The sequence below is a fragment of the Homo sapiens genome, chromosome 1 (genome assembly GCF_000001405.40).
Source record: "Homo sapiens chromosome 1, GRCh38.p14 Primary Assembly".
In the NCBI taxonomy this organism is placed as follows: domain Eukaryota; kingdom Metazoa; phylum Chordata; class Mammalia; order Primates; family Hominidae; genus Homo; species Homo sapiens.
This window is the reverse complement of record NC_000001.11, coordinates 108,927,873-108,955,237: the sequence shown is the minus strand read 5'-3', so window position 1 is coordinate 108,955,237 and position 27,365 is coordinate 108,927,873. Positions and strand designations below refer to the sequence as shown.

The 27,365-nt window shown below is 40.2% G+C and overlaps 2 protein-coding genes across 27 annotated transcripts in view; one reads left to right on the top strand and one right to left on the bottom strand.

Moving 5' to 3' along the window:
- Positions 1–25,733, top strand: part of CLCC1 (chloride channel CLIC like 1) — a 33,980-nt gene extending 8,247 nt beyond the window's left edge. For 6 of the 18 annotated variants that reach the window (NM_001377464.1, NM_001377466.1, NM_001377465.1 and 3 more), the window contains 11 exons: positions 4,790–4,929; positions 5,317–5,418; positions 7,520–7,627; positions 11,181–11,402; positions 11,623–11,763; positions 13,740–13,833; positions 15,096–15,193; positions 15,456–15,602; positions 17,820–18,161; positions 20,296–20,613; positions 22,737–25,733. In NM_001377464.1, the coding sequence (NP_001364393.1) occupies positions 4,801–4,929; positions 5,317–5,418; positions 7,520–7,627; positions 11,181–11,402; positions 11,623–11,763; positions 13,740–13,833; positions 15,096–15,193; positions 15,456–15,602; positions 17,820–18,161; positions 20,296–20,568 (1,656 nt within the window). In that variant the 5' untranslated portion in view covers positions 4,790–4,800 and the 3' untranslated portion in view covers positions 20,569–20,613; positions 22,737–25,733. Of the gene's footprint in view, positions 1–4,789; positions 4,930–5,316; positions 5,419–7,519; positions 7,628–7,729; positions 7,901–11,180; positions 11,403–11,622; positions 11,764–13,739; positions 13,834–15,095; positions 15,194–15,455; positions 15,603–16,929; positions 17,073–17,819; positions 18,162–20,295; positions 20,619–22,736 lie in introns of those variants that run through there. The other 12 variants (NM_001377462.1, NM_001377468.1, NM_001377460.1 and 9 more) reach the window with 8 other exon arrangements.
- Positions 20,693–27,365, bottom strand: part of GPSM2 (G protein signaling modulator 2) — a 57,561-nt gene continuing 50,888 nt past the window's right edge. For 8 of the 9 annotated variants that reach the window (XM_047418723.1, XM_011541302.4, XM_047418724.1 and 5 more), the window contains one exon: positions 20,693–25,537. In XM_047418723.1, coding sequence (XP_047274679.1) covers positions 25,298–25,537 — 240 coding nt within the window. In that variant the 3' untranslated portion in view covers positions 20,693–25,297. The remainder of the gene's footprint in view (positions 25,538–27,365) is intronic. The other variant, NM_001321039.3, reaches the window with a different exon arrangement.

The following is a 27,365-nucleotide window of genomic DNA, read 5'->3' as shown; positions in this document are numbered from 1 at the left end:
AACTTACTGTCCTTCCTTCCCCCCTAGAATGTAACCTTCCTGAAGAAGACCTTTGTCTGTGTAGACTCCTGGTATCCCTGTAACTTAAGACAGTGCCCAGCATGGTGGCTCATGCCTGTAACCTCAGCACTTTGGGAGGCCAAGGCGGGTGGATCACCTGAGGTCGGGAGTTCAAGACCAACATGGAGAAATCCCTGACCAACATGGAGAAATCCCTTCTCTACTAAAAATACAAAAAATTAGCTGGGTATGGTGGCACATGCCTATAATCCCAGCTACTTGGGAGGGTGAGGCAGGAGAATTTTTGAACCCAGGAGGCAGAGGTTGCAGTGAGCCAAGATCGTGCCATTGCACTCCAGCCTGGGCGACAAGAGCGAAACTCCGTCACACACACACACACACACACACACACACACACACGCAAAGACAGTGCCCAGTATACAGTAGGTATTTGGTAAATGTTGAACAAATGAATGCTGAACTCGTTCCACAACCATATTCTCATTATGAATTTCTTTTTAAAATTAACATCACCATTTTTGTTGCTGGTAGGCCAAGGTCTGTAGAATTGATCTTCAGAGTGTGCCACATGTGTTCTTTCTGGTTTTCTTGCCACCACTCTTTTAGGCCAAGTACCACATCTTTTTTCTGCTTCAGCCTCTTTGTTGGATAATGAATCCAGGTTTTCCTCCTCCTGTGCGCTTAGTGCTGGTGGTGGTGGTGGTTGTTGTTGTTTTTGAGACCGAGTTTTACTCTTTCACCTAGGCTGGAGTGAAGTGGCACGATCTCGGCTCACTGCAGCCTCCGTCCCCCACCCAGGTTCAAGCGATTCTCCTGCCTCAGCCTCCCAAGTAGCTGGGATTTACAGGTGTGTGCCACCACGCCTGGCTAATTTTTGTTGTTGTTGTTGTTTTATTAGAGACTGGGTTTCACCATGTTAGCCAGGATGGTCTTGATCTCCTGACCTCATTATCTGCCTGCCTCGGCCTCCCAAAGTCCTGGGAGTTAGTCGTAAGCTTTTTTCCTCAGCAGTGTCATCACCACCCACCCACCTCTACCTCTCACCGTATCCATCCTCGCAATTGCAATTGCTGAAGCATACACTTTGCCCTCTGCCTCTCCCATCTTGAGCACTTAAGATGTTACCCATACCTCGGATTCCCATTCCTGTGCAGTCTTTCCACTTTCTAGTTTCTCCAGTCGGATGTGTTTTTTTTTTTTTTTTTTGAGACGGAGTTTCACTCTGGTTGCCCAGGCTGGAGTGCAATGGCATGATCTTGGCTCACTGCAACTTCTGCCTCCCAGGTTCGAGTTATTCTCCTGCCTCAGCCTGCCGAGTAGCTGGGATTACAGGCATGCACCACCATACCCAGCTAATTTTGTATTTTTAGTAGAGATGGGGTTTCTCCATGTTGGTCAGGCTGGTCTCGAACTCCTGACCTCAGGTGAGCTGCCCGCCTCGGCCTCCCGAAGTGCTGGGATCACAGGCGTGAGCTACTGCACCTGGCCAGATGTGCTTTCTTTATCCTTTGAACCTCTAAAATCCTTGAGTCCTTGCTATGGCTTTATTTGCATTTGCTGCTTAACAAACATTTACTGAATGTCTTTCACGTGCCAACCACTGGGCTGGGTGTTGAGGTTGGGGAGATGGAGGGACAAGATAGAGAGGCCAGTGGGAAGGTGACTTCAGATCTAGGTAAGATACTATCTTTCCCTAGAGAAGTTCACATTAACAGTGGTTTTCTGTCTTGGCTACACATTAGAATCACTTGGGGAGCTTAAAAAGATCGAAGTGCCTGGGTCCTAATCCCAGAGATTCTGATTTAATGGTTTTGGGATATGGCCAAAACATTGGGAGTTTCAGAAGCTCCTCGGGTGATTCTAATATGGAGCCAAGGTTGAGAGCTATTGTGCTAATGGAAGAGACAGACCGATAAATGGCTAATTTCATTGCTTCCAATGCCAGAAGAATATACAGGGCACATGGGGAACAGGAGTATTTAATTTAGCCTAGAGTGATTTTTATTGTACAACTAGACCGTAAGCTGTTTATGGGCAGGGCCCAGGGCTTTGTCATCTTGGGGTTCTCTTGCCTGATTCTTATATGTAGTAGGTATAAGATAGGCTGCCCAACAGAACTTTCTTCGATGATAAAAATGTTCAAATGTTCTGTATCCACCCTGTCCAATATGGTAGCCACTACCCATATGTGACTATTGAGTGCTTGAAATGTAGCTAGGGGGAATGAGGAACTGAATTTTAAATTTTATTTAATTTTAATTAAATAGCTACATAGAGGAGTTACTAAGTGTTTAAATTATTTGACTGTTTATGCAGGGGCTTAGGTAAGGCAGGTTATTTTCTCTGAATGGTTTTGAAGTTTAGTCACTGCATTTGAATCGTAAATTCCCACCTTTCTTTCTTTTTTTTTTTTTTTAAAGGCAGAGTCTCACTCTGTCACCCAGGCTGGAGTGCAGTGGCGCGATCTCAGCTCACTGCAACCTCTGCCTCCTGGGTTCAAGCCATTCTCCTACCTCAGCCTTCTGAGTAGCTGGGATTACAGGCACACACCACCATGCCTGGCTGAGTTTTTGTGTTTTTAGTAGAGATGGGGTTTCAACTTGTTGGCCAGGCTGCTCTCGAACTCCTGGCCTCAAGTAATCCGCCCAGCTTGGCCTCCCACAGTGCTGGGATTACAGGCGTGAGGCACTGCACCTGGCAGTTTCCCACTTTTCTTATTTCTCATTTGTTAAAAAAAAACAGGGGGGGCCAAGCGCTGTGGCTCATGCCTATAATCCCAGTACTTTGGGAGGCCAAGGTGGGGTGGAGGTCGGGAGTTCGAGACCAGCCTGACCAACATGGAGAAATCCCATCTCTACTAAAAATACAAAATTAGCCAAGTATGGTGGCCCATGCCTGTAATTCCAGCCACTTGGGAGGCTGAGGGAGGAGAATCGCTTGAACCTGGGAGGCAGAGGTTGCAGTGAGCCGAGATTGCGCCATTGCACTCTAGCCTGGGCAAAAAGAGTGAAACTCTGTCTCAAAAAAACAAAAAACCCAAAAATAGGGGGGAGATTCGTTAAAATACCTGTTTTTAAATTGACTTTATTGAGCTATAAATCACATACTATATAATCCACCCATTTAAAGTGTCCAGTTCCACCAGGTGCAGTGGCTCATGCCTGTAATCCCAGCACTTTGGGAGGCCGAGGTGGGAGGATAGCTTGAGCCTAGGAGTTTGAGACCAGCCTGGGCAATATAGTGAGACCCTATCTCTACAAAAAAGTTAATTAATTTTAAAAAATTAGCCAGGTGTGGTGTAAGCTTGTAGTCCCAGCTACTCAGGAGGCTGAGGTGGGCCGATCACTTGAGTCTGGGAGGTTGAGTCTGCAAGTAAGCTGGTATTGTGCCACTGCACTCCAGCCTGGGCAACAGAGGGAGAGACCCTGTCTCAAAAAAAAAAAAAAAAAAGTATACAATTCAACGGTTTTGGGTATATTTGCATGTATTTGCAACCATTATTATAATTTTAGAACATTTTTCATTACCTCAAAAGGAAACCCTGTACCCTTTAGCTACTATACTCCCAAACCTTCAGCCTTAACCACCTGTTAATCTACTTTCTGTCTTAATAGATTTGCCTATTCTGGACATTTCATATATATGTACTTATATAATGTGTGGTCTTTCATATCTGGTTTCTTTCACATAATGTAGCATTTTCAAGGTTCATATGTGTTGTAGCATGGTGTCAGTATTTCATCCCTTTTTATGGCTGAATAATATTCCATTGCATGGCTATACCAGTTTTATTTATCAGTTAATGGAAATTTGTTTGTTGTTGTTGTTTTTTCTGTGATGGGGGTCCCACTCTGTCACCCAGGTTGGGGTGCAGTGGTGTGATCTTGGCTCACTGCAACCTCTGCCTCCCAGGCTCAAGCGATCCACCTGCCTCAGCCTCCCAAGGGGCTGGGATCACTGGCTTGCGCTACCACGCCTGGCTAATTTTTTGGTTATTTTTTTCATTACCTAGCCTGGTCTTGAACTCCTGAGCTCAAGTGATCCACCTACCCAAAGTGCTGGGATTACATGTGTCAGCCACCACACCTGGCCCTGTTGATGGAAATTTGGGTTTTTCCCACCTTTTGGCTATTACGAAAAATGTGGCTCTGAACATTCATGTACAAGTTTTTGTGTGGACATATATTTTCATTTCTTTTGGGTATATACCTAGCAATGGAATTGCTGGGCCATATGGAAAAATACCTATTTTCTTATATCAGTGAGCATATTATGCATATATGCATTTTTTTAATATATGAACACCAATTTATTTTTATTTTGTGTACCTTCTTCCTTAGATACTGTTCAGAAAGTGTTATCTTAACTCTAGAAGGAAGTAGTTTTCATTACAAAACAATCTGGCTGGGTGCAATGGCTCATGCCTATAATCCTAGCACTTTGGGAGGCCAGGGTGGGAGGATCAGTTGAGGCCAGGAGTTTGAGACCAGCCTGGATAACATAGTGAGACCCTGTCTCTACTAAAAATTAAAAAAAAAAAATTATCCAGGTGTGGTGGCACACACCTGTAGTCCCAGCTAGCCAGGAGGACCTCTTGAGCCCAGGAGTTGGAGGATGCACTGAGCTGTGATTGTATCACTGTACTCCAGCCTGGGCAATAGAGCAAGACCCTGTCTCTAAAAATAATAATAATAATAATAATAACCCAAAACCCAATTTATTTAAAAAAATAATTCTATTTCATTATATATATTAAAAATTGTTTTAGCCTTATACAGGATGCTGTGTTCTTTGCTCCTTTGTGAATGTCTGTTGCTGGTAGCTGGTTATGCTCATGATGATGACTGGATTGACCCCACAGACATGCTTAACTATGATGCTGCTTCAGGAACAATGAGAAAATCTCAGGTATTAAAAAAAATTCGTGCATGTGTGTGAGACCTTATCAGTCCCATGATGGAAACAGTCTAGCTCTGTTGTTTTGCACAGAGCTATGAGGGTCATGGATCCATGATTAGCAATTATGCAGAATATTTTCTTGACACTGTTAATCTAAAATTATTTCAAACCTACCTGGTATTGAATTTGAATGTAAAGCCCTTGAAGTAGCAAAATAATATGATTTTAGTTCTTAGTGTGTACATTTGAAACTTTTTTTTTGTGGTTCAGTACAATTTAAGAATATAACATGCAGAGTCATGAAATGATGAAGTCAGAATCTTAGTCTTCATTAACCAAAGGCTATTTTTGTAACTAAACTATAAAGAAATAAAATGTTTCTATACTCTGTTTTAGGCAAAATATGGTATTTCAGGGGAAAAGGATGTCAGTCCTGACTTGTCATGTGCTGATGAAATATCAGAATGTTATCACAAACTTGATTCTTTAACTTATAAGGTTAGTTTTTTTATTGATAAATTTTATATTTTTATATTATGTTAAATCGCTCTATATTCTTGTCTCTGCTGATAAATTTGTATTTCTAGTGTTTCCGTGTACCGTATGATTTTTATATGTCAAATTTTTCTTTGGATACTCTAACCTTGGTTTCTTATTAGTTATTCTAGCCTTGGTTTTTCTAGTAGTACCTTGTATTTTCCTGTAATAACATTGACATCTCTGTGTTGTAAGTATTTCTTTACCAGACTGCAGACTTCTTGGTGCAAGGAATACGTTTTATTGATCTTAATTCTCTGTCACCTATCACAGGGCTGAGGCATAGTAAACTCTCAACAAATGTAGCAAATGAAGAAATGTGTCTATTACCAGCTTATACGAATAAGAGTTACTCTTAAGAAGGATTATTATAATTTAGTGTGTAATAGCTATTCATTCCTTCATTTATCCAATCCTCTTAAAAAAATGTAGCTGAAGAGTTTACACAAAAATAAATAAGTCAAGGGATGTGAATGTAGTCGTTATGTGCTGTGGGAGCCACCCTCGGTTGGCTGCGTAGGCAGGGTGAACTGGTAGCAGTGTGGAGGTAAGGAGGTGAGGCCTGGAATGGAGAAGGGGGGTGTCAGTGAGATCAGTGGAGGCTGCAGAGGTCCAGCAATGCTGAAGGTCTGAAATGAGGCAGTGATGGGTTGAAGATAAGAGGCAGATATTAAACTTTTATGAGGTAGAATAGGCAAATGTTGATGGCTTAGGGAAGTAGGGGGGATAAGGGATAGGGAAGAGCTAGAGTGAATGAGTCCCAGCTTGAGAGACTGGGAGAGTTTGTTCACTGAGATCCAGATATAGCCCAATAAGATCTATACCCACCTGCTTGTGATTCTTATTAAGTACGAATACTGTCTCACCTGAGTGGTTGAGAAGGTGCGCTTGGATAAAATTTGCTTCACTCCCATGATTTGAGGAAGCCACAAGAAAAAGAAAAGGAAAAAAAAATTGCTTCACTTTGTGTATTATTATTGTATAGTGAGCTATACAAAAGTTTGGCTGCACAGCAAAAATGCAGAAATACCTTTTTACAGAATTTTTTTATTCCATTGTTTGTGACTGGTTTAAACATTCTAAGAAACATGGTTGGCAAAATGGAGTCTTGAATTCTTTTTTTTTTTTTTCCTAAGTTGTTTCTTTAAGGTTTAGAAAATAAACTGGTTTTACAAACCTTGCCTGAGAGCAAAGGAAACTGCTGTGTTCTTCTATTTCCTTCTCTGCTCAGTGTCCTTCTTAAGTCTGTGTGCTGCTCAATTATTGTCATGTTTATCCACTGATGTGCATTTCAGCGCTCAACTCATGGTCCACACTCCGTTAAAAAATGCAAGTTGATGATCACAAAGTTATTCTAATGTTTGAAAAATACCCACTACCCTCAGCGACTTGCCTGCTGGGTTGGTGGTGGCAGAGCTAAGTTCGTAGGAAGTCTGCTCCCGTGTAGAATTGTGTGCTGAAGGGTTGCCATGTGGGTGGTACCCTGGAGAAGCTGCAGTTCCTGCCTTCCTGAGCATTCCATACAGCATGGGATGATTAATTGCTGATTAAAACATTAATAAAAGGCCAAAAGTCATATGCACATTGAAGAAATACTCTGTTGTGTCCTTCATTTCATCGTCTGGCTTCATCTTGTTTCTGTTTCTCTGTCCCTTTGTTTCTCTCTGTGTATTTATTCTACTCTTCCCTCCTGCCCTTCCTTCCTTCTTTCTCTTGTTAAATTGTTGCTTTGGAATTAGAAAGAGGCAGATTGGTCCAGATGCTCTGCTTGTGGATCTCTGCCTCCTTTAGCTTTAAAGTTGCTGAAAGTCAGCAGAAAAACTGCCAGGTTAGGGCTAAGTATTGGATCTGTGCTCCTTATTTGTTGCCTACTTGCCCTTTGCAAAGAGAACATGGGGAAGCAGGCCAGCTCTGCACTGTAATGTATTATAGCTGATAAATGCAAACTTGATCAAAACAACTAGCTCCTTACCTTGATTCCGATGACAGCACTAGGCTAGAAACTTAACCCTTATATTATACTTTGACTCTAACTAATGTTGAATTGATTTTATGGTTACAGATTGATGAGTGTGAAAAGAAAAAGAGGGAAGACTATGAAAGTCAAAGCAATCCTGTTTTTAGGAGATACTTAAATAAGATTTTAATTGAAGCTGGAAAGCTTGGACTTGTGAGTATTTGATGGTGTGATACTAATCCGTATAGTGTATATTTTTATTTATTAATTTCAAATAATATGAAGAAGTGAAAGCATCATGATGCTTTTTAACAGAGACCACCTGACTGACTCTTTAACCAGAAGCTATTCATTCAGGATTAAAGGCACTACTATACTGCTTTGCAGTGGTCTGGTGGAAGATGAGCAGTGCAGACCGCTCTTTCTCCTCTAGTTTGTATGGATTTACTTACTCAGCTCTGTGCACTGCTCCACCAGTTAATGGAGGTGAGGAGGTGGGGTGATAATTCTGTTCTGATCCTACTCCTTGTTTTCTCTCAGTATATGCTGAGAAAAAGAAAAATGTGTTTTCTGTAGTTTTTCTCCTTGTTGTTTACTGTGGTGAGTGCTACTTTATAGACATATTGTTCATAATTATTGTTAAAATTTCCTTTTTTTTTTGAGACAGAGTCTCGCTCTGTTGTCCAGGCCGGAGTACCGTCGTGCAATCTTGGCTCACTACAACCTCTGCCTCCCGGGTTCCAGCAATTCTCCCTGACTCAGCCTCCCGAGTAGCTGGATTACAGGCACCTGCCACCATGCCTGGCTAATTTTTGTATTTTTAGTAGAGATGGGGTTTTGCCATATTGGCCAAGCTGGTCTTAAACTCCTGACCTCAGGTGATCCGCTTGCCTTGGCCTCCCAAAGTGCTGGGATTACAGGTGTGAGCCACCGCACCTGGCCAAAATTTCTATTTTTAAGAAGTCACTGTTTTCACTTTGGGAAGTGAAAACTTCCCAGACTTAATGCATTAATTTAGTTTTAATTCACTTACCAAAGTGAAAACATCAAGAAAACATAAATTTAATAACTTATAACATTTAGAAAGCTCATTTAAAAGCTCATAGACTTTTTTTTTCCTATTGTGTGTGCCACCAGAATTGACTTAGAGAGTCAGAGACCAGCCTTTGGTCTTGATCTGGCCATTAGCCCCACCTGCCAGAAGTGGTTACAGGCAGATCCCTGAAAATGAAAGGCCCTTGCATCAGCACAGTGTAGGCTGGCAAAACTTGCCATATACTCCATCTTCCTGGTACAGTAAGAAGTGACCAAAAGAAAAAGGAGTGTTAGATGAATAACGCCACCTTATTCTGGAAATGTAGAAGCAGATGCGTTCTCATACGTACACTCTGTAATTTGAGCCTTACAGCTACGTACAGGGTGGAACAGAACCTAGATAAGGAAACAGATGGAACCAAAAATACTTAAGATGGAAATGCTGGAAAATATTTAGTTTCTGATTTTTTTTTTTTTTTGAGACAGAGTCTTGCTCTGTCACCCAGGCTGGAGTGCAGTGGCGCAATCTCCGCTCACTGCAAGCTCCGCCTCCCAGGTTTACACCATTCTCCTGCCTCAGCCTCCTGAGTAGCTGGGACTACAGGCACCCGCCACCATGCCCGGCTAATTTTTTGTATTTTCAGTAGAGACAGGGTTTCACCGTGTTAGCCAGGATGGTCTTGATCTCCTGACCTCGTGATCCGCCTGCCTCATGCCTCCCAAAGTGCTGGGATTATAGGCATGAGCCACCGCGCCCGGCCACGTCTGGCTAATATTTTTGTGTTTTCAGTAGAGACAGGATTTCACCATGTTAGCCAGGCTGGTCTCAAACTCCTGACCTCAAGTGATCTGACCGCCTCGGCCTCCCAAAGTGCTGGGATTACAGGTGTGAGCCACCATGTCCCACCTTGTATTTACTGTTTATAAAAGAAAAAGGAATTTTATTTGTATCAACTGGCTAATTAATGCAAAATTTGTTTAGTGATTTTGCTAAGCTGAACTCACACTAATAAAGGTAGTTATAAATATGTAATTTATGGAAACCCATTATTTTGTTGCTCTTTGAGATCCTTCTTGTTTTTCTTGTTTGCACTAATACAGATTTTAGGCTATCTGAAAACTGTCAGGAAATGAAAAGTCATGCAGTGAATCATAAAATGAAGATGCACAGTTGATCCTCATTCTTCACAGATTCCGTATTTATGAATTGACCTCATTAAGTCTGTGTAACCCCAAAGTCAATAATCGAGGTGTTCTGTGGTTACTCTGGGACACAGTGAAGAGTGGTAAAAAATTTGGGTTGCCTGTTGCAGGCATTCCCAGCTGAGATGGAACAAGGCAATCAAAACTGTTTTCTTGTTTCAGCTCTCGTACTGCAAACAAGTGTCTTTTTTTGTGGTCTATTTAGTGGTATATTTTTTCGTGCTTTTTTGAGGGGAGAGGGGTGATTTTTTTTATTTTTATTTTGAGACCAATCATTAAACAGCATCATTTCGTTGTTTAAAACGGCCCTCTGATGTAGTGCTGAGCTGAGGTCTAGTGTTTCTAAGTGCAAGAAGGCCACGATGTACTTACAGAGAAAAGGAAAAGGTGTGTATTAGATAGGCTTCAGTCAAGCGTAAGGTATAGGACAGTTGTCCATGTGTTCAGTGTTAGTGAATGAACAATATGTATTTTAAATAAGGTGTCCTTAAACAGGAATGTACAGAAACACACATAAAACAAGGTTATATATTGATCAATTGATAAAAATGTTATGACAGGTTTGCACGAACCAAACCCTGTATTTATTATAGGAGTAATGGTTCAGTACTTGCTAATTGGTGTTTGAGGTGACTTTATAGAAGATAACTACTGTGAGGCCGGGTGCAGTGGCTCACGCCTGTAATCCCAGCACTTTGGGAGGCCATGGCGGGCGGATCATGAGGTCAGGAGATCGAGACCATCCTGGCTAATGCGGTGAAACCCCGTCTCTACTAAAAATAGAAAAAATTAGCCAGGCGTAGTGGCGGGCACCTGTAGTCCCAGCTACATGGGAGGCTGAGGCAGGAGAATGGCGTGAACCCAGGAGGTGGAGCTTGCAGTGAGCAGAGATTGCGTCACTGCACTCCAGCCTGGGCGACAGAGTGAGACTCCATCTAAAAAAAAAAAAAGACGATAACTACTGCGAATAGCAAGAATCAACTGTATTTTAGTGAAATTTACAGTATCTTTTTTACATAGAGTTCTAGAATTTTTAAATGTTTTTCATGTATATTATCTTTGGTTTTCATGTTGGCCTGTGAAGACAGGTGGATATTATTATTATTTTTTTTTTTTAGAGACAGGGTCTTACTCTGTCTCCCATGCTGGAGTGCAGTGGTATGCTCATAGCTTACTGCAGCCTCGAATCCGGGGCACAGACAATTCTTCTGCCTCAGCCTGCTGAGTAGGCAGGAGCCAGGTGCACACCACTGCACACAGCTAATGGTTAGAATTTTTTGTAGAGATGGGGTCTCGCTTTGTTGCCCAGGCTGGTCTTGAAGTCCTGGCTTCAAGCTATCCTCCCACCTTGGCCTGTCAAAGCACTAGGATTATAGGTGTGAGCTACCTTGCCCAGGCTATTATTCTTATACATATGAAATACTGCAAACTAATATTTAGTTCCAAATTGGCTTTTGTCTTAAAATGGTTCACCAAGTAGTAATAAAATTCTCTTTCTATTGTTTGTTTTTTGGTAAATTTAATTTAGCCTGATGAAAACAAAGGCGATATGCATTATGATGCTGAGATTATCCTTAAAAGAGAAACTTTGTTAGAAATACAGAAGTTTCTCAATGGAGAAGACTGGAAACCAGGTGCCTTGGATGATGCACTAAGTGATATTTTAATTAATTTTAAGTTTCATGATTTTGAAACATGGAAGTGGCGATTCGAAGATTCCTTTGGAGTGGATCCATATAATGTGTTAATGGTAAGATGGGATGAGGGCAAGGGCAACGTCATTAAGTTTCCTTTTTAAAATACTTTCCAAACTCCACCATAATTACGTTAAGAACCTGTACTAGGTCACTTATACCGTATTGATGAACAAGCCACAAAATTGTAGAAATGATTTTGTGCTTTTGAGTCCAGTTCTTTTTAGCTGTCTTAAGTGTTTTTGGTGGCTGATTTCTGCTTCTCTCTGTTTTAAGGTACTTCTTTGTCTGCTCTGCATCGTGGTTTTAGTGGCTACTGAGCTGTGGACATATGTACGTTGGTACACTCAGTTGAGACGTGTTTTAATCATCAGCTTTCTGTTCAGTTTGGGATGGAATTGGATGTATTTATATAAGGTATTATATGGATGGAGGGTTTTACAATTTTAACACATTTATTCACAATGAAAGAAGACTCTAATCCATTGAGAGCAATCTTGCCTTGGATGTGGGTTGGAGGCAGTGATTAGAGGTGGCCCACGCTGGAGAGGAATTAAATGGACACTTCTTAGCTGACAGTTTTTTGATTCCTTGACCAGTTAGTGGGTAAAAAAGTTCAGTCCTAATTTTCATAACCCAGTTAATGTTAACATTTGGGCATCTAAGTCAGAATAAAGCCAGGTGGGTTGGGTGTGGTGGCTCATGCCTGTAATCCCAGCATTTTGGGAGGCTGAGGTGGGCAGATCACTTGGTCAGGAGGTCAAGACTAGCCTGGCCAACATGGTGAAACCCTGTCTCTACTAAAAATACAAAAATTAGCTGGGCCTGGTGACGTGCACCTGTAGTCCCAGCTACTCAGCAGGCTGAGGCAGGAGAATTGCTTGAACCTGAGAGGTTGCAGTGAGCCAAGATTGCGCTGCTGCACTCCAGCCTGGACCACAGAGTGAGGTCTGTCTCAAAAACAAGGAAGAAAAAAAAAAGAATAAAGCTATGTGGATACATTTAAAAATTATCATGTAGGTAATTTAGAGTATGTCATTCTATGTCTTTGCTAGAAATGATACCAAAATATTATTTTTTAAAAATTAGGTTATTTTTTGAATAAGTGGTATATTCATGGCAGAGAATTTAGAAAAGGCAGATACAAGGAAATTAATTTTTAAAATAACCTATAATTTTATCACCTAGAGAAAATCTGTCAGTAGTTTAAGGTATTTCTTTCTAGATTTTTCTAGATTTTAATTATCTTTCAAAGTTGGGATCATACTGTATATAGAAATTGGAAAGGACCACTACTGTTCCCATCAACATAGCATAAATAATAATCATTGAAAGAAAATTTTAGATCTTTCTAGCAGAGTGAGTCAAGTAGCCAAGTATTTTCAATGATTTCATCTGGTTAAAGCATTGTGACATTTCCTTAACCTTTTGCTGTAAGTATTATAGTATTTAGAACTAATTATTTACAAATTAAACACAGATTCTGTGTGGAAGGAAAGTTGCTTGAGTATTGTCACCTTAATGATTGTATATTGGTCATTGTACTGGAAATTATCCAGTGCAAAATAGGATATCATCAACTATAAAAGAAAATAAGAAGTAGTCATTTAATTTGTATGGCTAGAACTAATTGTTGTTGTTGTTGCTGTTGTTTTTGAGACAGTCTCACTCTGTCCCCCAGGCTGGAGTGCAGTAGTGAAATCTCGGCTCAATGCAACCTCCACCTCCCGGGTTCAAGCGATTCTCTTGCCTCAGCCTCCTATCTGGGACTACAGGCCCGTGCTATCACGCCTGGCTGAACTAATTTTTAAAAACAATATTTTTAGTAAAGTTTCCCTTTTTCATTATAATTACTTACAGAGAAGGCAATTGTAGTTAGTACTTTATGCTTACTTGTTGCATTAAGGCTGTACTTTTCCATGAACTGGAAATAGCTACTCTTTACAAATAATATGTTTTCCTATAATCCTAGCACTTTGGGAGGCTGAGGCGGGCGGATCACTTGAGGTCAGGAGTTCAAGACCAGCCTGGCCAACATGATGAAACCCCGTCTCTACTAAAAATACAAAAATTAGCTGGGCGTGGTAGCGGGCACCTTTAATCCCAGCTACTCGGGAAGCTGAGGCAGGAGAATCGCTTGAACCCGGGAGGTGGTGGTTGCAGTGAGCCGAGATTGTGCCACCGCACACCAGCGTGGGTGACAGGGCGAGACTCCGTCTCAGGAAAAAAAGAGAAAAAATAGTAATAATAATATGTTTTTTTTTAATTAAAAATTTATAACAGTCTGGTTTGGATGAATGGTAAAGACACTCTTTGAATGAAGGTCTTTTGGATGTGTAGGCCTAACCTTCATAGGTAACGGCCTCTCCTGGTTCCCTTTTGGTGTTGGGCAGCTAGCTTTTGCACAGCATCAGGCTGAAGTCGCCAAGATGGAGCCATTAAACAATGTGTGTGCCAAAAAGATGGACTGGACTGGAAGTATCTGGGGTAAGGTGTTTGTGCACTTGTCCTTATTTTGAATAGAAATTCTGAGAATGAAAGAACATAGAACAAAGAGAATGATAAAATAACAGGAGGCTTTCCATGACTGAATCTTTAATATCAGAAGAACATGCAAGAAGCATTTTAGGTTTAAAACCAGTGACTTTTTATGCTCATCTAAAGTCACAGGGAAGGAATAGAAGTTGTATATATGTTGGCTCTGATATTATCTGTCTTCCTTCATAAGACTGTGTGAAGGATCCTATGCTCGCTTTTGTTCATCTCGTTCTTTGCACAGGGTCTGGCATATTCTCAATAGAAGTTTATTAAACAAGTGAATGAATGTATATATGAATTAATATCCATCTTAAATTTAATGGCCTTATATTGACTTGTGAAATTTTATGTTGTAGCTTTACTTTTTTTTAACTACGGGAAAAATTAGTTTTTTTATTCTTTCACATTTTATAAACATTCTCATGAATGTTCACTACCTTTGGTTGTATGTATCTAGCAATGGGGATGGTTTAATAATGTTCCAAGGCATTTTATAAATGCAAGTCCATGACTGACACGGAATTCTGCAGATGGAATCCAAAATAAATGTTTCTTAAAAAGTTGTGGGAACTAAACCAATTCAGCCTTCCTTCCTGGCTTCAGTGGACAGTGAAATGCCTCCTCTAGCTCAGGCTAGTTTCCCAACGTATATAAGCCTGATTTGGAAAAATTAGAACTAATATTCCACTTTATTTTGTAAACTCCATAAAGAACTGACTTTTTAAATTAAAAATTTACTGAGGTAATTGTGGATTCACACAGTAAGAAATACTACAGAGAGAGCCCGTGTACCCTTTCCCCATTTTCCTCCAGTGGTGACATCTTGCACAGCTTTAATAGTACAATATCAGAGCCAGGATATTGACTTTGATACAATCCACCAGTCTTATTTCGACTTCCCATTTTACCTGTACTCATTTGTGTTTGTGAAGCATTGCTTTTAAAGTGTTTACCTTTTAGACATTTTTATAAAATACAATTTTTTATCTGCATAAAACATGTATAATTTGAATGGATTTTTAAAACATGATTTTGGACATAAGATGAAAAATTTAAAAATCAGCATTACAGGGAGTCTACTTAAAACTTAAGATAATTTAAAACTCATTGGTGGGTGGTCAGGGAGGGTCAAAACCAAAGTAATGTCTTGTTTGGGAATGAAATGCAACATTAAAAGAAATGATCAGTGTTTTGTCTGTTTCTCTAAACAGAATGGTTTAGAAGTTCATGGACCTATAAGGATGACCCATGCCAAAAATACTATGAGCTCTTACTAGTCAACCCTATTTGGTTGGTCCCACCAACAAAGGTATAGCATATATTTTGTAAAAATTACTTAAAGTCAGTCAGAAATCCCTTGTATTTTAAAGAACTTTAGTGTTTGAGTCATTTTGCTAATAAGCGTTTGTCCAAGAAAAAATACTTTTGCACAGTGATTTTCACATTAAAAATGGCACAACAGCATTTTAATTTATGTAACATACTTTCAGCATCAGTACTCAATGAATTTTGATGCATTCTGTACCTTAGTCCTGTGAGGAGAAAATTAAGTTGCTTTTCTCTCGTTTTAGGCACTTGCAGTTACATTCACCACATTTGTAACGGAGCCATTGAAGCATATTGGAAAAGGAACTGGGGAATTTATTAAAGCACTCATGAAGGAAATTCCAGCGCTGCTTCATCTTCCAGTGCTGATAATTATGGCATTAGCCATCCTGGTTAGTATTAATATATTAGCACTGTCGGGCCAGGCGCGGTGGCTCACGCCTGTAATCCCAGCACTTTGGGAGGCCTAGGCGGGCGGATCACGAGGTCAGGAGATCGAGACCATCCTGGCTAACACAGTGAAACCCTGTCTCTACTAAAAAAAATACAAAAAATTAGCCGGGCGTGGTGGCGGGCGCCTGTAGTCCCAGCTACTCGGGAGGCTGAGGCAGGAGAACGGGGTGAACCTGGGAGGCGGAGCTTGCAGTGAGCCGAGATCGCACCACTGTACTCCAGCCTGGGCGACAGAGCAAGATTCCGTCTCAAAAAAAAAAAAAAATTATACATATATGTATATTTATATATCTATCTATATATATTTATATTTATATATCTGTCTATATTTATATATTTATTATATATAATATATATTTATATATTATATATTTATATTTATATATATATATGCACTGTCAGTATTTAGCAAGATTTATATTAAATCTTAGTATTAATATTAGTAATACTGGTTAGTATTAAATATTAGCACTGTCAATATTTAGCAAGATTTACAGAAAAAAAGGCAATGCTAAAATTATTGGGCTTCTTTGATGTTGTAAATCAGGCTAAGTCACGCTTAATGAGAAGGCGATTTTTAAGTGATACAGATTTTTTTCCTCCCCTCTGCCCCTCTAAATGATACAGACATATTATACTTACTTGTATATTTTTATAATCAAGAAAGTAGTTCTCTAGTTTGATTGCATATGTCATAGCAGTGATTTAGAATAATAACCTCTTTTTAAATGTGTTAACCTTGGTAAATTAATACACAGGAAATAGGAAGTTGATTTCTGTCTCCCAGAAAGGGGGACTTCTTATTTCTAGTCAGTTTTTGCAGCAGTGAGAAGGGTAGAGCATTGAGTTTGACACAGAACCAGAAAGGGATGTGGAAGAACATGGGTATGCTGAGAAAGAGTTTGGGGATCCAGGAGCAGACATTAAGAAGAAATATTACTCGTCATCCCTCCATGGTCTATTCAGTGTTTTTTGTTATCGATTTTTTAGCTATTACCCAAGTAAAGCAGTTGTCGCATAAAACAAAAAGAACTCAGATGTGCCAAGGGAAATTCTCTTCCCTAAGGATACAAGATTCACTATCTCTGTTCACTTTGAAATCGTTTCTTTTTTGGTTTTGTTTTTTGGCTTGTGATTACAGGATTATGTGGTTGACGGGTATTTTTTTGTTAGGTGACATTAGTTCTATAGTCATAGTTTAGTCTCTGAAACTGAAATTATCAGCAGAGTCTTCACCATCTGTTTTTGTTTCATGTGCTCCCTCAGGAAAGTTATGCTCTTTGACTTTTGCTGCTTTTGTCTTCAAATAGTAGTGTTTGAAAAACTAGTACAGAAATTTTCAAAGTTTCTGTTCTCAGGACCTCTTTGCAGTCTTAAAAATTGAAGCCCACAAACAGCTCTTACTTAAGGTGATTATATTTATTGATACTTACATATTAGGAGTTAAAACAAATTTAAAACATACGAGTACTGTACACGCAAGCATGCATCCCCTGAGTCTGAGTGAGGCTGTCACTCTAGCATCTGGAATGCTCCGTTGTATATTCAGGAGGGGACAGTGAAAAAGACAAATAATAATGTCTTTGTATTATGAAAAGTTTTGATCTCATAGATCTCCTGAAAGTCTCAGGTATCCCCCGGGGGTCCCTGGGCCACACTGTAAGGAACTGCTGCCTACTTTTTCCCATGGAATGTGAATCAAAACCTGTTGAATTTTAGCTGTAACTTAAGCCTAGTTTATATTTGTAAAAAGAAAATGTACAGAAGATTGTTTACATAATGATATACAACTTTAAATATTTTCAGCATTTACCTTATATGATGGGCATGAATCTAGAAACATGAATAATTATCAGACTAGAACCTTCTAATTTAAATATCTAGGCTTCAGCCTGCCATTGTTATAGTTCAATCGAAATGTGTCTAGCTGATTAAAATGTCTACTGAAAGATTTATTAAGTTTTATTGGCCACTCTGGCCTTGTATTAATCTAAAGAGGTCTCTAATGAAAAAAAGTCAAATTAACATGTTTATGTCTATAAATGCCACAAGTAAGTTAAATTACATAACTTTGTTAGCACTCTGAATAAAATGCCTCATAACTTTTGTAAGTTAGCCATTGAGTCCTCAGGAAAATGTATTTCTTTTCCTTACAGAGTTTCTGCTATGGTGCTGGAAAATCAGTTCATGTGCTGAGACATATAGGCGGTCCTGAGAGCGAACCTCCCCAGGCACTTCGGCCACGGGATAGAAGACGGCAGGAGGAAATTGATTATAGACCTGATGGTGGAGCAGGTGATGCCGATTTCCATTATAGGGGCCAAATGGGCCCCACTGAGCAAGGCCCTTATGCCAAAACGTATGAGGGTAGAAGAGAGATTTTGAGAGAGAGAGATGTTGACTTGAGATTTCAGACTGGCAACAAGAGCCCTGAAGTGCTCCGGGCATTTGATGTACCAGACGCAGAGGCACGAGAGCATCCCACGGTGGTACCCAGTGTAAGTCAGCAACTCTTTTATTCTGCTGTCCCTTCATTACTGGTTCTAAATCCTTCTGGAAGAGGTCTGATTGTTTTTACTCTTTTACCCCTCACCCTTAATTATATCATGAGTGATACAGCCACTCACTCTCTCCCCTTTCTGGTCAAAAGTTAGTTCAGCTTCCTCAGAAGAAATAAAATTAGATTTAACTTTTATGTAAAATACAATTTAACAGTAGTTTGTTAGAGCAGATGGTAATTCATATGAACCTTCATGGGAAGCCAGCGTATGAGCATGACAGAAATTTCTATCTTTGAAGAGATCAGAGAGAAGGCATCACTGAAGGCCCGGAGCTCTAGGGAAGGTACAGTAGAGCCCTAAAGGATTAGCTGGATGGAAGAGTGGGCTGGGGCCAGGGATCAAAAACATTGCTTCCCCAAATCTTCAGTGTCATTGGCTGGCTAGACTATACTTTTTACCTGTAGAATGGTAAGAAGAAGTTTTTCACCATTATCAGTCTTTTAAAGGGACATTTCCATTTCTGTTTGAGAGAGGAATTTGTATTGTCATTTGAAATGTTTAAATTGCAGCTGTTAAACCTTTGAAACAGTTATGAGCATAATAGAATCTGGGAAATTATAGAATCCCTTCCCATAGTTTCATATAAAAATAAACATATCTACATGTATCTAGAAAGATGGACCAGGCGCGGCGGCTCACGCCTGTGATCCCAGCACTGGGAGGCCGAGGCAGGCGGATCACTGGAGGTCTGCAGTTCAAGACCAGCCTGGCCAACGTGGCAAAGCCCCATCTCTACTGAAAATACAAGAAAATTAGCCAGGCGTGATGTGGTATGCACCTGTAATCCCAGCTACTTGGGAGGCTGAGACAGGAGAATTGCTTGATTCCAGGGGGCGGAGGTTGCAGTGAGCCGAGATCGTGCCATTGCACTCCAGCCTGGGTGACAGAGTGAGACGTCGTCTCAAAAAAAAAAAAAAAAAAAAAAAAACAACTTAAGATGGTCCTTCCAGCTTTTATAGTTAGTAATTACCTGTCACCTATCTCAGAAGTCTTCCAGTGACTTCCTATCTCACTTGAGGGGAAAGCCAGTATTACAATGGCCTGGAAGCCTCCTTGGTCTCCCCTTCCCCCACATCCACTACCTCTCTGGTCACCTCTTCTCCCTCCGTGCTTACTCTACTTTAGCCATAAGGGCTCCTGACTGTTCCTTGAACTTGAGAGCCTTTGTACCTGCTGTTCATTCTACAGTCTTCATTTATATATCAATCATATGGTTACTTTCTTCAGGCCTTTACTCATTTTTATTATTTTTGGAGACAAGGTCTCACTCTGTGGTCAAGGCTGGGGTGCAGTGATCATAGCTCATTGCAGCCTCAAAATCCTGGGCTCAACCGATTCTTTTGCCTCAGCCTTCTGAGTAACTAGGACTATAGGCATATACGACCATGCCTGGCTAATATTTTTTATTTTTTGTGGATATGGGGTCTTGCTGTTACCCAGGCTGGTCTCAAACTCCTGGCCTCAAGCAGTCTTCTCACCTTGGCCTCCCAAAGTTATGGGATTACAGGTGTGAGCCACCATGCCTAACCATATCACTTTTTCAGACCACCCTAATTTAAACTGTAATTTGACCCTGCCAGCCCACCCACATTCAGCACTCATCTCTTCTCTGCTTTTTTTACATAGCCTCTTTAATTCAACATATCACACTTGTGTGATTTTCTTCTAACCTAAATATAAGTTCCAGTGAGAACAGTTTTATGTATTTTGTTCCTGCTGTATCCCTAACACCTAGAACTTAATATATGCTCAAGAAATATTTGTCAAATGAATTATTCTCACCAGGCAAGAGAAGTTGACAATACTGATGACCAATTCTCTTGACCCCTTCTAAGCTGGGCCACTAGACCACCCAGTATATGCGCTAAGCGTTCCCACTCCTCTGTGGGAGTACTGTGGAGTTTGGTGAGGTATAATAACATTTATATAATTATAACCCAGCACTGGACCCTGGATTTGAAAGAGTTTGGAGCTTGCTACAACGGATTTGGGTGGGAACTTTTTAGATATGTTTGATTACTAAGACTTCACATTACATTAAACAGTTAAAATGTAATTTTGTACTTTATAGCATAAATCACCTGTTTTGGATACAAAGCCCAAGGAGACAGGTGGAATCCTGGGGGAAGGCACACCGAAAGAAAGCAGTACTGAAAGCAGCCAGTCGGCCAAGCCTGTCTCTGGCCAAGACACATCAGGGAATACAGAAGGTTCACCCGCAGCGGAAAAGGCCCAGCTCAAGTCTGAAGCCGCAGGCAGCCCAGACCAAGGCAGCACATACAGCCCCGCAAGAGGTGTGGCTGGACCACGTGGACAGGATCCGGTCAGCAGCCCCTGTGGCTAGAGGAACACCAGCACAAACGACAGCCTCAAGTCTCCTTCGAGCTTTGTAAAGTATACTCTTCACTCTCTTTCTCTTCTCTGCAAGAATTCTGATTACTACAAAGGTGCCAACTTCAACATTCACATTTCAACTTCAACATTCACATTTTTACTGACAATTAGAATTAACAAACACGTTATATATGTAAAAGCTTTTCATTTCATCTTCTCTTTGATATTTACATCCCATAAAGTAAGAAGTGTTTATTTTAAGATGAACAGATGACAGGCATCACTGATTCTGGATAGTTAAGGAGGCCAGTTTGAATTGGGGACATTGAAAAAGAAATTTTATTGTTACAGGCACTTACGGGAACCCACTAACCAATTTACATTGCCTAGTGAATCCACTAGAGTTAAGGCCACCCACTTGATGCCTCCAGCATCTTCATGCAGCCATGGAGTATCGTTACCAGGATCAGTCTGACTGACACCTCAGCTTATCTCTACGCAGGCTGCCCACAGGTCACTGTGGCTGTAGTTTCATCTTTTCCACAGCTATTACTACGCCTGCATCCTTATTGTTCCTTTTACTTTGTTTACTTAGAGAAAACTGAAGACTGCCAGGGCAATTTAGATAACATAGCTTGTTATATTGGTAATCTGTTTTACAGAGTCAGTCGACTGAAAATGACTTTATTCTTTTCCCCCACCAATTGAAGTGCATGGGCTTTTTATAAAACCTATTTTTTGTGTTACTCAGAATCCTAGCAGTGGAGACTATTAGATATTACCATATCTTAATTCATATTATAGCAAATCATATTGTCTTGTCCATAGGAAGTTTGCATTTTTAGAGATCTATACATAGAGAATACCATGATGAGGAAGAAGAGAGTTGGGTGTCTTCCTTAACTGCAGACAGGACATCAGTCAGCACTTTACATTAGTCTTTCTGATTATCAAAAGCATTCCTCATTTTAAACTTTTTAAAAAGCAATGCATAAATTTTGTACCTGTCCTTAGCAGACTTCACAGACATCAGGTGTCCTTTGTTTTAACCATATTCACACTACAAGTTATGTTCAACTGCTTACTAAAAGTGATACCAGTCAGGAATAAAGTCTTTAAATTTTCATGCAGATATTTGTATCCCAAGCACTTGCTTTTTTATTTTAATATGAAATGCAGAATACACATTTTTGGATCCAGGAAGTGTTACTTACGTGCCTGTAACAATGTAATTTTAGGCCAGGTGCAGTGGCTCATGCCTACAGTCCTAGCACTTTGGAAGGTTGAGGGAGGATGATCGCTTAAGTTCAGTTGTTGAAATGCAGAATACACATTTTTGGATCCAGGAAGTGTTACTTACGTGCCTGTAACAATGTAATTTTAGGCCAGGTGCAGTGGCTCATGCCTACAGTCCTAGCACTTTGGAAGGTTGAGGGAGGATGATCGCTTAAGTTCAGTTGTTGAAATGCAGAATACACATTTTTGGATCCAGGAAGTGTTACTTACGTGCCTGTAACAATGTAATTTTAGGCCAGGTGCAGTGGCTCATGCCTACAGTCCTAGCACTTTGGAAGGTTGAGGGAGGATGATCGCTTAAGCTCAGTTGTTCAAGGCTATGTACTAAAAATAAAACTAGCCAGGCATGGTGGTACACGCCTGTAGTCCCAGCTACTTGGAGGGCTGAGGCAAGAGGATCGTGAGGTGGCAGTGAGTTATGATCGAGCCACTGTACTCCAGCCTGGGTGACAGAGCAAGACCTTGTCTCAAAATTATACATGTTAATATATTCTAGTTTAATATTGCAAACATCTTTAGAATTTCATCAGAAACGTGATTTTTTCTAAGAAATGCAAAAGGATTTTAGGATTTTTAACACAGAGGACATGTTTAACAAATGAATCCTGACAGACACCTGCAGTTTAGAATAAATTTGTGAACATCCATGCGTATAAAGTGTCCTCTTGGGACAAGACATGTTCACACTGACTTGGGGAATATGCCCCCAAGGTGAGAGCTGTCTTTTGAACTGTGATCTGACTCTGAAAAGTAGTGAATGCCCCAGGTGATAGACTGTAACTGTGAGTGGAATTAATGCTGCTTGCATGCCTTTTAATCCAAAACCAAATTCTTTTAAAAAATTTTTAAATAAAATTTCACCTTTGTATTCTTTCATTACAGATATCCATTTGGGGATGAAGTCTACTTTGACAGCTAGCAAGGCGACATGCAACTGTTGTTGAATGATGACAGCAATTCAGGAAAGACTTAAATATGAAAGCAAATTGAACACATCGGGTGTTTGTTATCAGAAAAGAGATGAGATGAGATAAGACTTGTTTATTGACTAGCCAATATGTCATTAAAATTAAGGTTTATATTGTGAAGCTTTTTTGAAATTTTACTTTTTTTTGAGAGTTTTGCTCTGTCACCCAGGCTGGAGTGAGGTGGTACAATCTCGGCTCACTGCAACCTCCACCTCCCAGGTTCAAGAGATTCTCCTGCCTCAGTCTCCCGAGTAGCTAGGATTACAGATGTGCATCACCATGCCTGGCTAATTTTTGTATTTTTTAGTAGAGATGGGGTTTCACCATGTTGGTCAGGCTGGTCTCGAACTCCTGACCTCAAGTGACCCGCCCTTGTCGGCCTCCCAAAGTGCTGGGATTACAGGCATGAGCCATTGTGCCCAGCCTATATAGTGTGAAGCTTTTAGGAAAATCAGAACAGGGTAGACAGCTGTTAAAAACAATGTTTAAATGGAATAATGTTGAATGTTTACAGGCTGTAAGAACTATTGTATACACAAAATAATACACAAAGTTTGTACTTTGTGTACAAATACAAATTTGTACTTTGTGTACAAATAATACAAAAAGTTTGTATACACAAACTTTTTACGTTGTGGTTTGGTATATTGTCTTAACTGAATTTTCTTATAAGAACCCCATGAAACTTACCTGAGTTTTTAAAATGCTATCCAGGACATCATACCTTATAGTATACATGAAACATAATGTAATCCAGGTTGTAATTTAGAACTTTTTTTTTTTTTTTAGCTGAGCACTTAATGTAATTAATTCCAGGTTATGACTCTTAAAAAACATTGGCCATTAGAGAAATAGTTCTATTTGCCCATCCAAATCACCTGAATGACTTTTTGAAAGAATAGGGGTCCACATCCCCAGATCCCATCCCAGCTGTGCACAGTCTGAAGCAAGCAGAGTGAAACAAGTTGGCAACTTGTTCCAAGCGTGGGCCTTTGCAGTCTGTGATCCAGTGTTACTCCAGGTCCCAGTCTGTCCCATACTTGTCTTTTGCTACAGTTAGTTAGTTACTTTGTTATCATCCCCTTGTAAACTGCCTTCAATATCTGGGATAAGGAAGACAAAGCTTAATGACAACTAAGGTTCTAGCTGACATCTTTCTTTCATATTTAATTTTTGTGAGTTTTCATCTGTTTTCTGTTTGTTTATGTGTCCTAGGTTCTTGACCTAACCACATGGGTTTTGTTTTTTGTTTTTATATTAGAACTTAGAAAAGTTTGTTTTACAGCAGTATTATGGAACAGAAGAGACCATTTTAAATAATTTTTTTAAACAGCCCAAAACACACAAAAGATACTTGTTTTCTAGAGACAGGGTCTTGCTCTGTCACCCAGGCTGGAGTGCAGTGGCACGATCATAGCTCAGTGCAGCCTCCACCTCCTGGGCTCAAGTGGTCCTCCTGCCTCAGCCTCTTAAGCAGTTGGGACTACAGGTGTGTGCCAGCATGCTTGCTGTTTTTTTTTTTTTTGAGACAGAGTCTTGCTCTGTCACTCAGGCTGGAGTCCAGTGGCTTGGTCTCAGCTCACTGCAATCTCTGCCTCCCAGGGGTTCAAGTGATTCTCCTGCCTCAGCCTCCCAAGTAGCTGAAACTACAGGCGCATGCCACCATGCCCAGCTAATTTTTGTATTTTTAGTAGAGACAGGGTTTCACTATGTTGGCCAGGCTGGTCTCAAACTCCCGACCTCAAGTGATCCGCCCGCTTCGGCCTCCCAAAGTGCTGGGATTACAGGTGTGAGCCACTGCGCCTGGCTGCTGATTTATTTTTCATAGACACGGGGGTCTATGTTGCCCAGGTTGGTCTTGAACTCCTAGCCTCAAGCGATCCTCCTGCCTCAGCCTCCCAATGTGCTGGGATTACAGGAATGAGCCACCATGCCCAGCCCAAGAAGTAGAGTTTCTTTTATACTGACTTTGGCCTAAAAAAACAGATTTTCATGGAGGAAAAAAAAACCTAGATTTTTAGTAAGACTATTTTATATACTTTTTTACATTGATCAAGTACATTATTTTTACCAAACAACATTGTTTCCCACTACATCCATGGTTATGTATAAAAAAACGCCATTGTCAATTAAGATGTTAAAAAATTATTTCCATAAGAGTATTAAATTCTAATCTATGATTCACTTAACTTCCTACTTTATAAACACTAGGTAAAGTAATCTCACAAGCTGCCAAAGAACACATCCCAAGCAGTAATCACAGACGATGAAGCACCTTACAGGACCCCTCCACCCTCAAACGCGCATGTCCAGAGAAGTATTAATGCCTTAATAGACTACTGAAGGTTAACTATTTACATCATTCTAAAAATATTTTAAGCTGTATTACAGTGCTATAAATTCTCCTTTTAAGGAAAAAAGTAATAGATTGTTTCCTTACCGTGTTTGAAAGGAAAAAAAATAAATCCATAGTAACTAATGGTCTGCCGATTTTTTCCCTGAATTTTTAAACTCCAACAAAGCATTATTTTGCAAAAAGTCCTTTAGCCCAAAGTCAGTGTCTCTGTTTTGATCTCTTTGTAAAAGAACTCTCTGTTCATCCATTCTCTTTCCCTGGGACCGTAAAATAAGGCTGAAAAAGTCTTCATCTGGTACTGTCGGACCCTTTGTGGTAGCAGGTGGTGGAGCACATCTTTGATCATCTAATCTGGATCCCTAGAAGTTTATGAGAGAGATTAAAAGACATACTGTGGGAAAGAAAGCACCAAGCTATGTTAAATCTCTCAGTCACAACAAGAAAACGCAGTTGTAAACTTTTATTTGGGGCTTCTCAGAAATTAATCTTTGTTTTTATATTGTTCTCTTTAGTTCCCAGCCTGATTTCTGAAAGAAATAATCTTTAAACCTGAAACTGCATAAAATTTTTCCTTTAAAATGGCTTATATAGGTATAGCTGCTTCATTGGTTTAGTACGTGCATTATGTTAAGTCATACTGTTTTAATTATAATTGGTCACAAGGATAAAAGACAAGGTCAACTGTATCTAAGTATGACAGTTCAAGGTTATAATCTAACAGGCATCAACTGTGTAACTTAACAAATCTTTAGAAATATGTACAAACCCCATGAGGAACTACCTTAAAAAAATCACGTCTTAGGCTAGGGGACAGCAAACTGTAACCCAGTGCCGGCTTCTGTAAATGAAGTCATTTTCATTTTCCCATCAATACATATGTTTATATACTATCTATATGGCTGCTTCCCTACTAAATGGCAGAGTTGGGCAGTTGCAATAGATACCATATGGGCGGCAAAGCCTAAAATATTTTCTATCTGGCCTTTTACAGAAAAAGTTTGCCTGCCTCTGTCTTAGGCTGTTAAATCTGTTAAGAAATAGCCCAGAATGAATTTTTTTTTTTTTTTTTTTGAGACGGATTCTCGCTCTGTCATCCAGGCAGGACTGCAGTGGTGTGATCCTGGCTCACTGCAACCTCCATCTTTCAGGTTCAAGTGATTCTTCAGCCTCAGCCTCCCAGTAGCTGAGACTATAGGCATGCGTCACCACACCTGGCTAATTTTTGTATTTTTAGTAGAGATGGGGGTTTCACCATGTTGGCCAGGCTGGTCTCGAACTCTTGACCTCAAGTGATCCACCCGCCTTGGCCTCCCAAAATGCTGGGATTACAGGCATGAGCCTGGTCTCTGAATTTTTCTTTCAAGTTTGAGTATTATGATTCTTATATTAGACATGCTACTTGTCAAAAAATACATGCACTTACAAGTATACACCATAGTTTCTGGCATTGTAGCTCAAGAGTAAGAATAGAAGTGTGATAGCTGATATTTGAATATGCACTACATTGTTAGGGACTGTGATAAGACATAGATCCCTGAACATTTAAGCCCACAACCCTCAGAGGGTGCAGTTATTTACTGCCCTCCTAAGTGAGTGCCACCTCCACACATACCTGGCTCATTCATTTCTCCTGTCATAAATTGATAATTTCAATGTCCTCCAATTAACCCAACACTTGGGCACTTAGTTCCTAGACTTCCTCACTTAGTTCCTAGACTTCCTCTGATTGAATGTCCTCATCCTTCACTTCGGCCTTAGCCATTTGGCTCCCATGGTCATATTCTAGCCTCTTGTTATCTCTATAGAAATGCCTCTTCCAGTTCTTTGCCCATTTTTGAATCAGGTTGGTTTTTGTTGAGTTTTAGGAGTTTTCTATATATTCTGGGTATTAATCCTTTATCAGATATGTGATTTCCAAGTATTTTATGTTGGGTTGCCTTTTTACTGTTGATAATGTCCTTTGATGCACAAGTTTTTAATTATGAAGTCCAATTTGTCTACGTTGTTGTTGTTGTTCCCTGCTCACTCTTTTGGTTTTATAACCAAGAAATCACTGCCAAACCCAATGCCATGAGGCTTTCCTTTTTTTTCCCTTTAGAGACAGGGTCTCACTCTGTGGCCTAAGCTGGAGCACAGTGACGTGATCATGGCTCACTGCAGCCTTGAACTCCTAGGCTCAAGTGATCC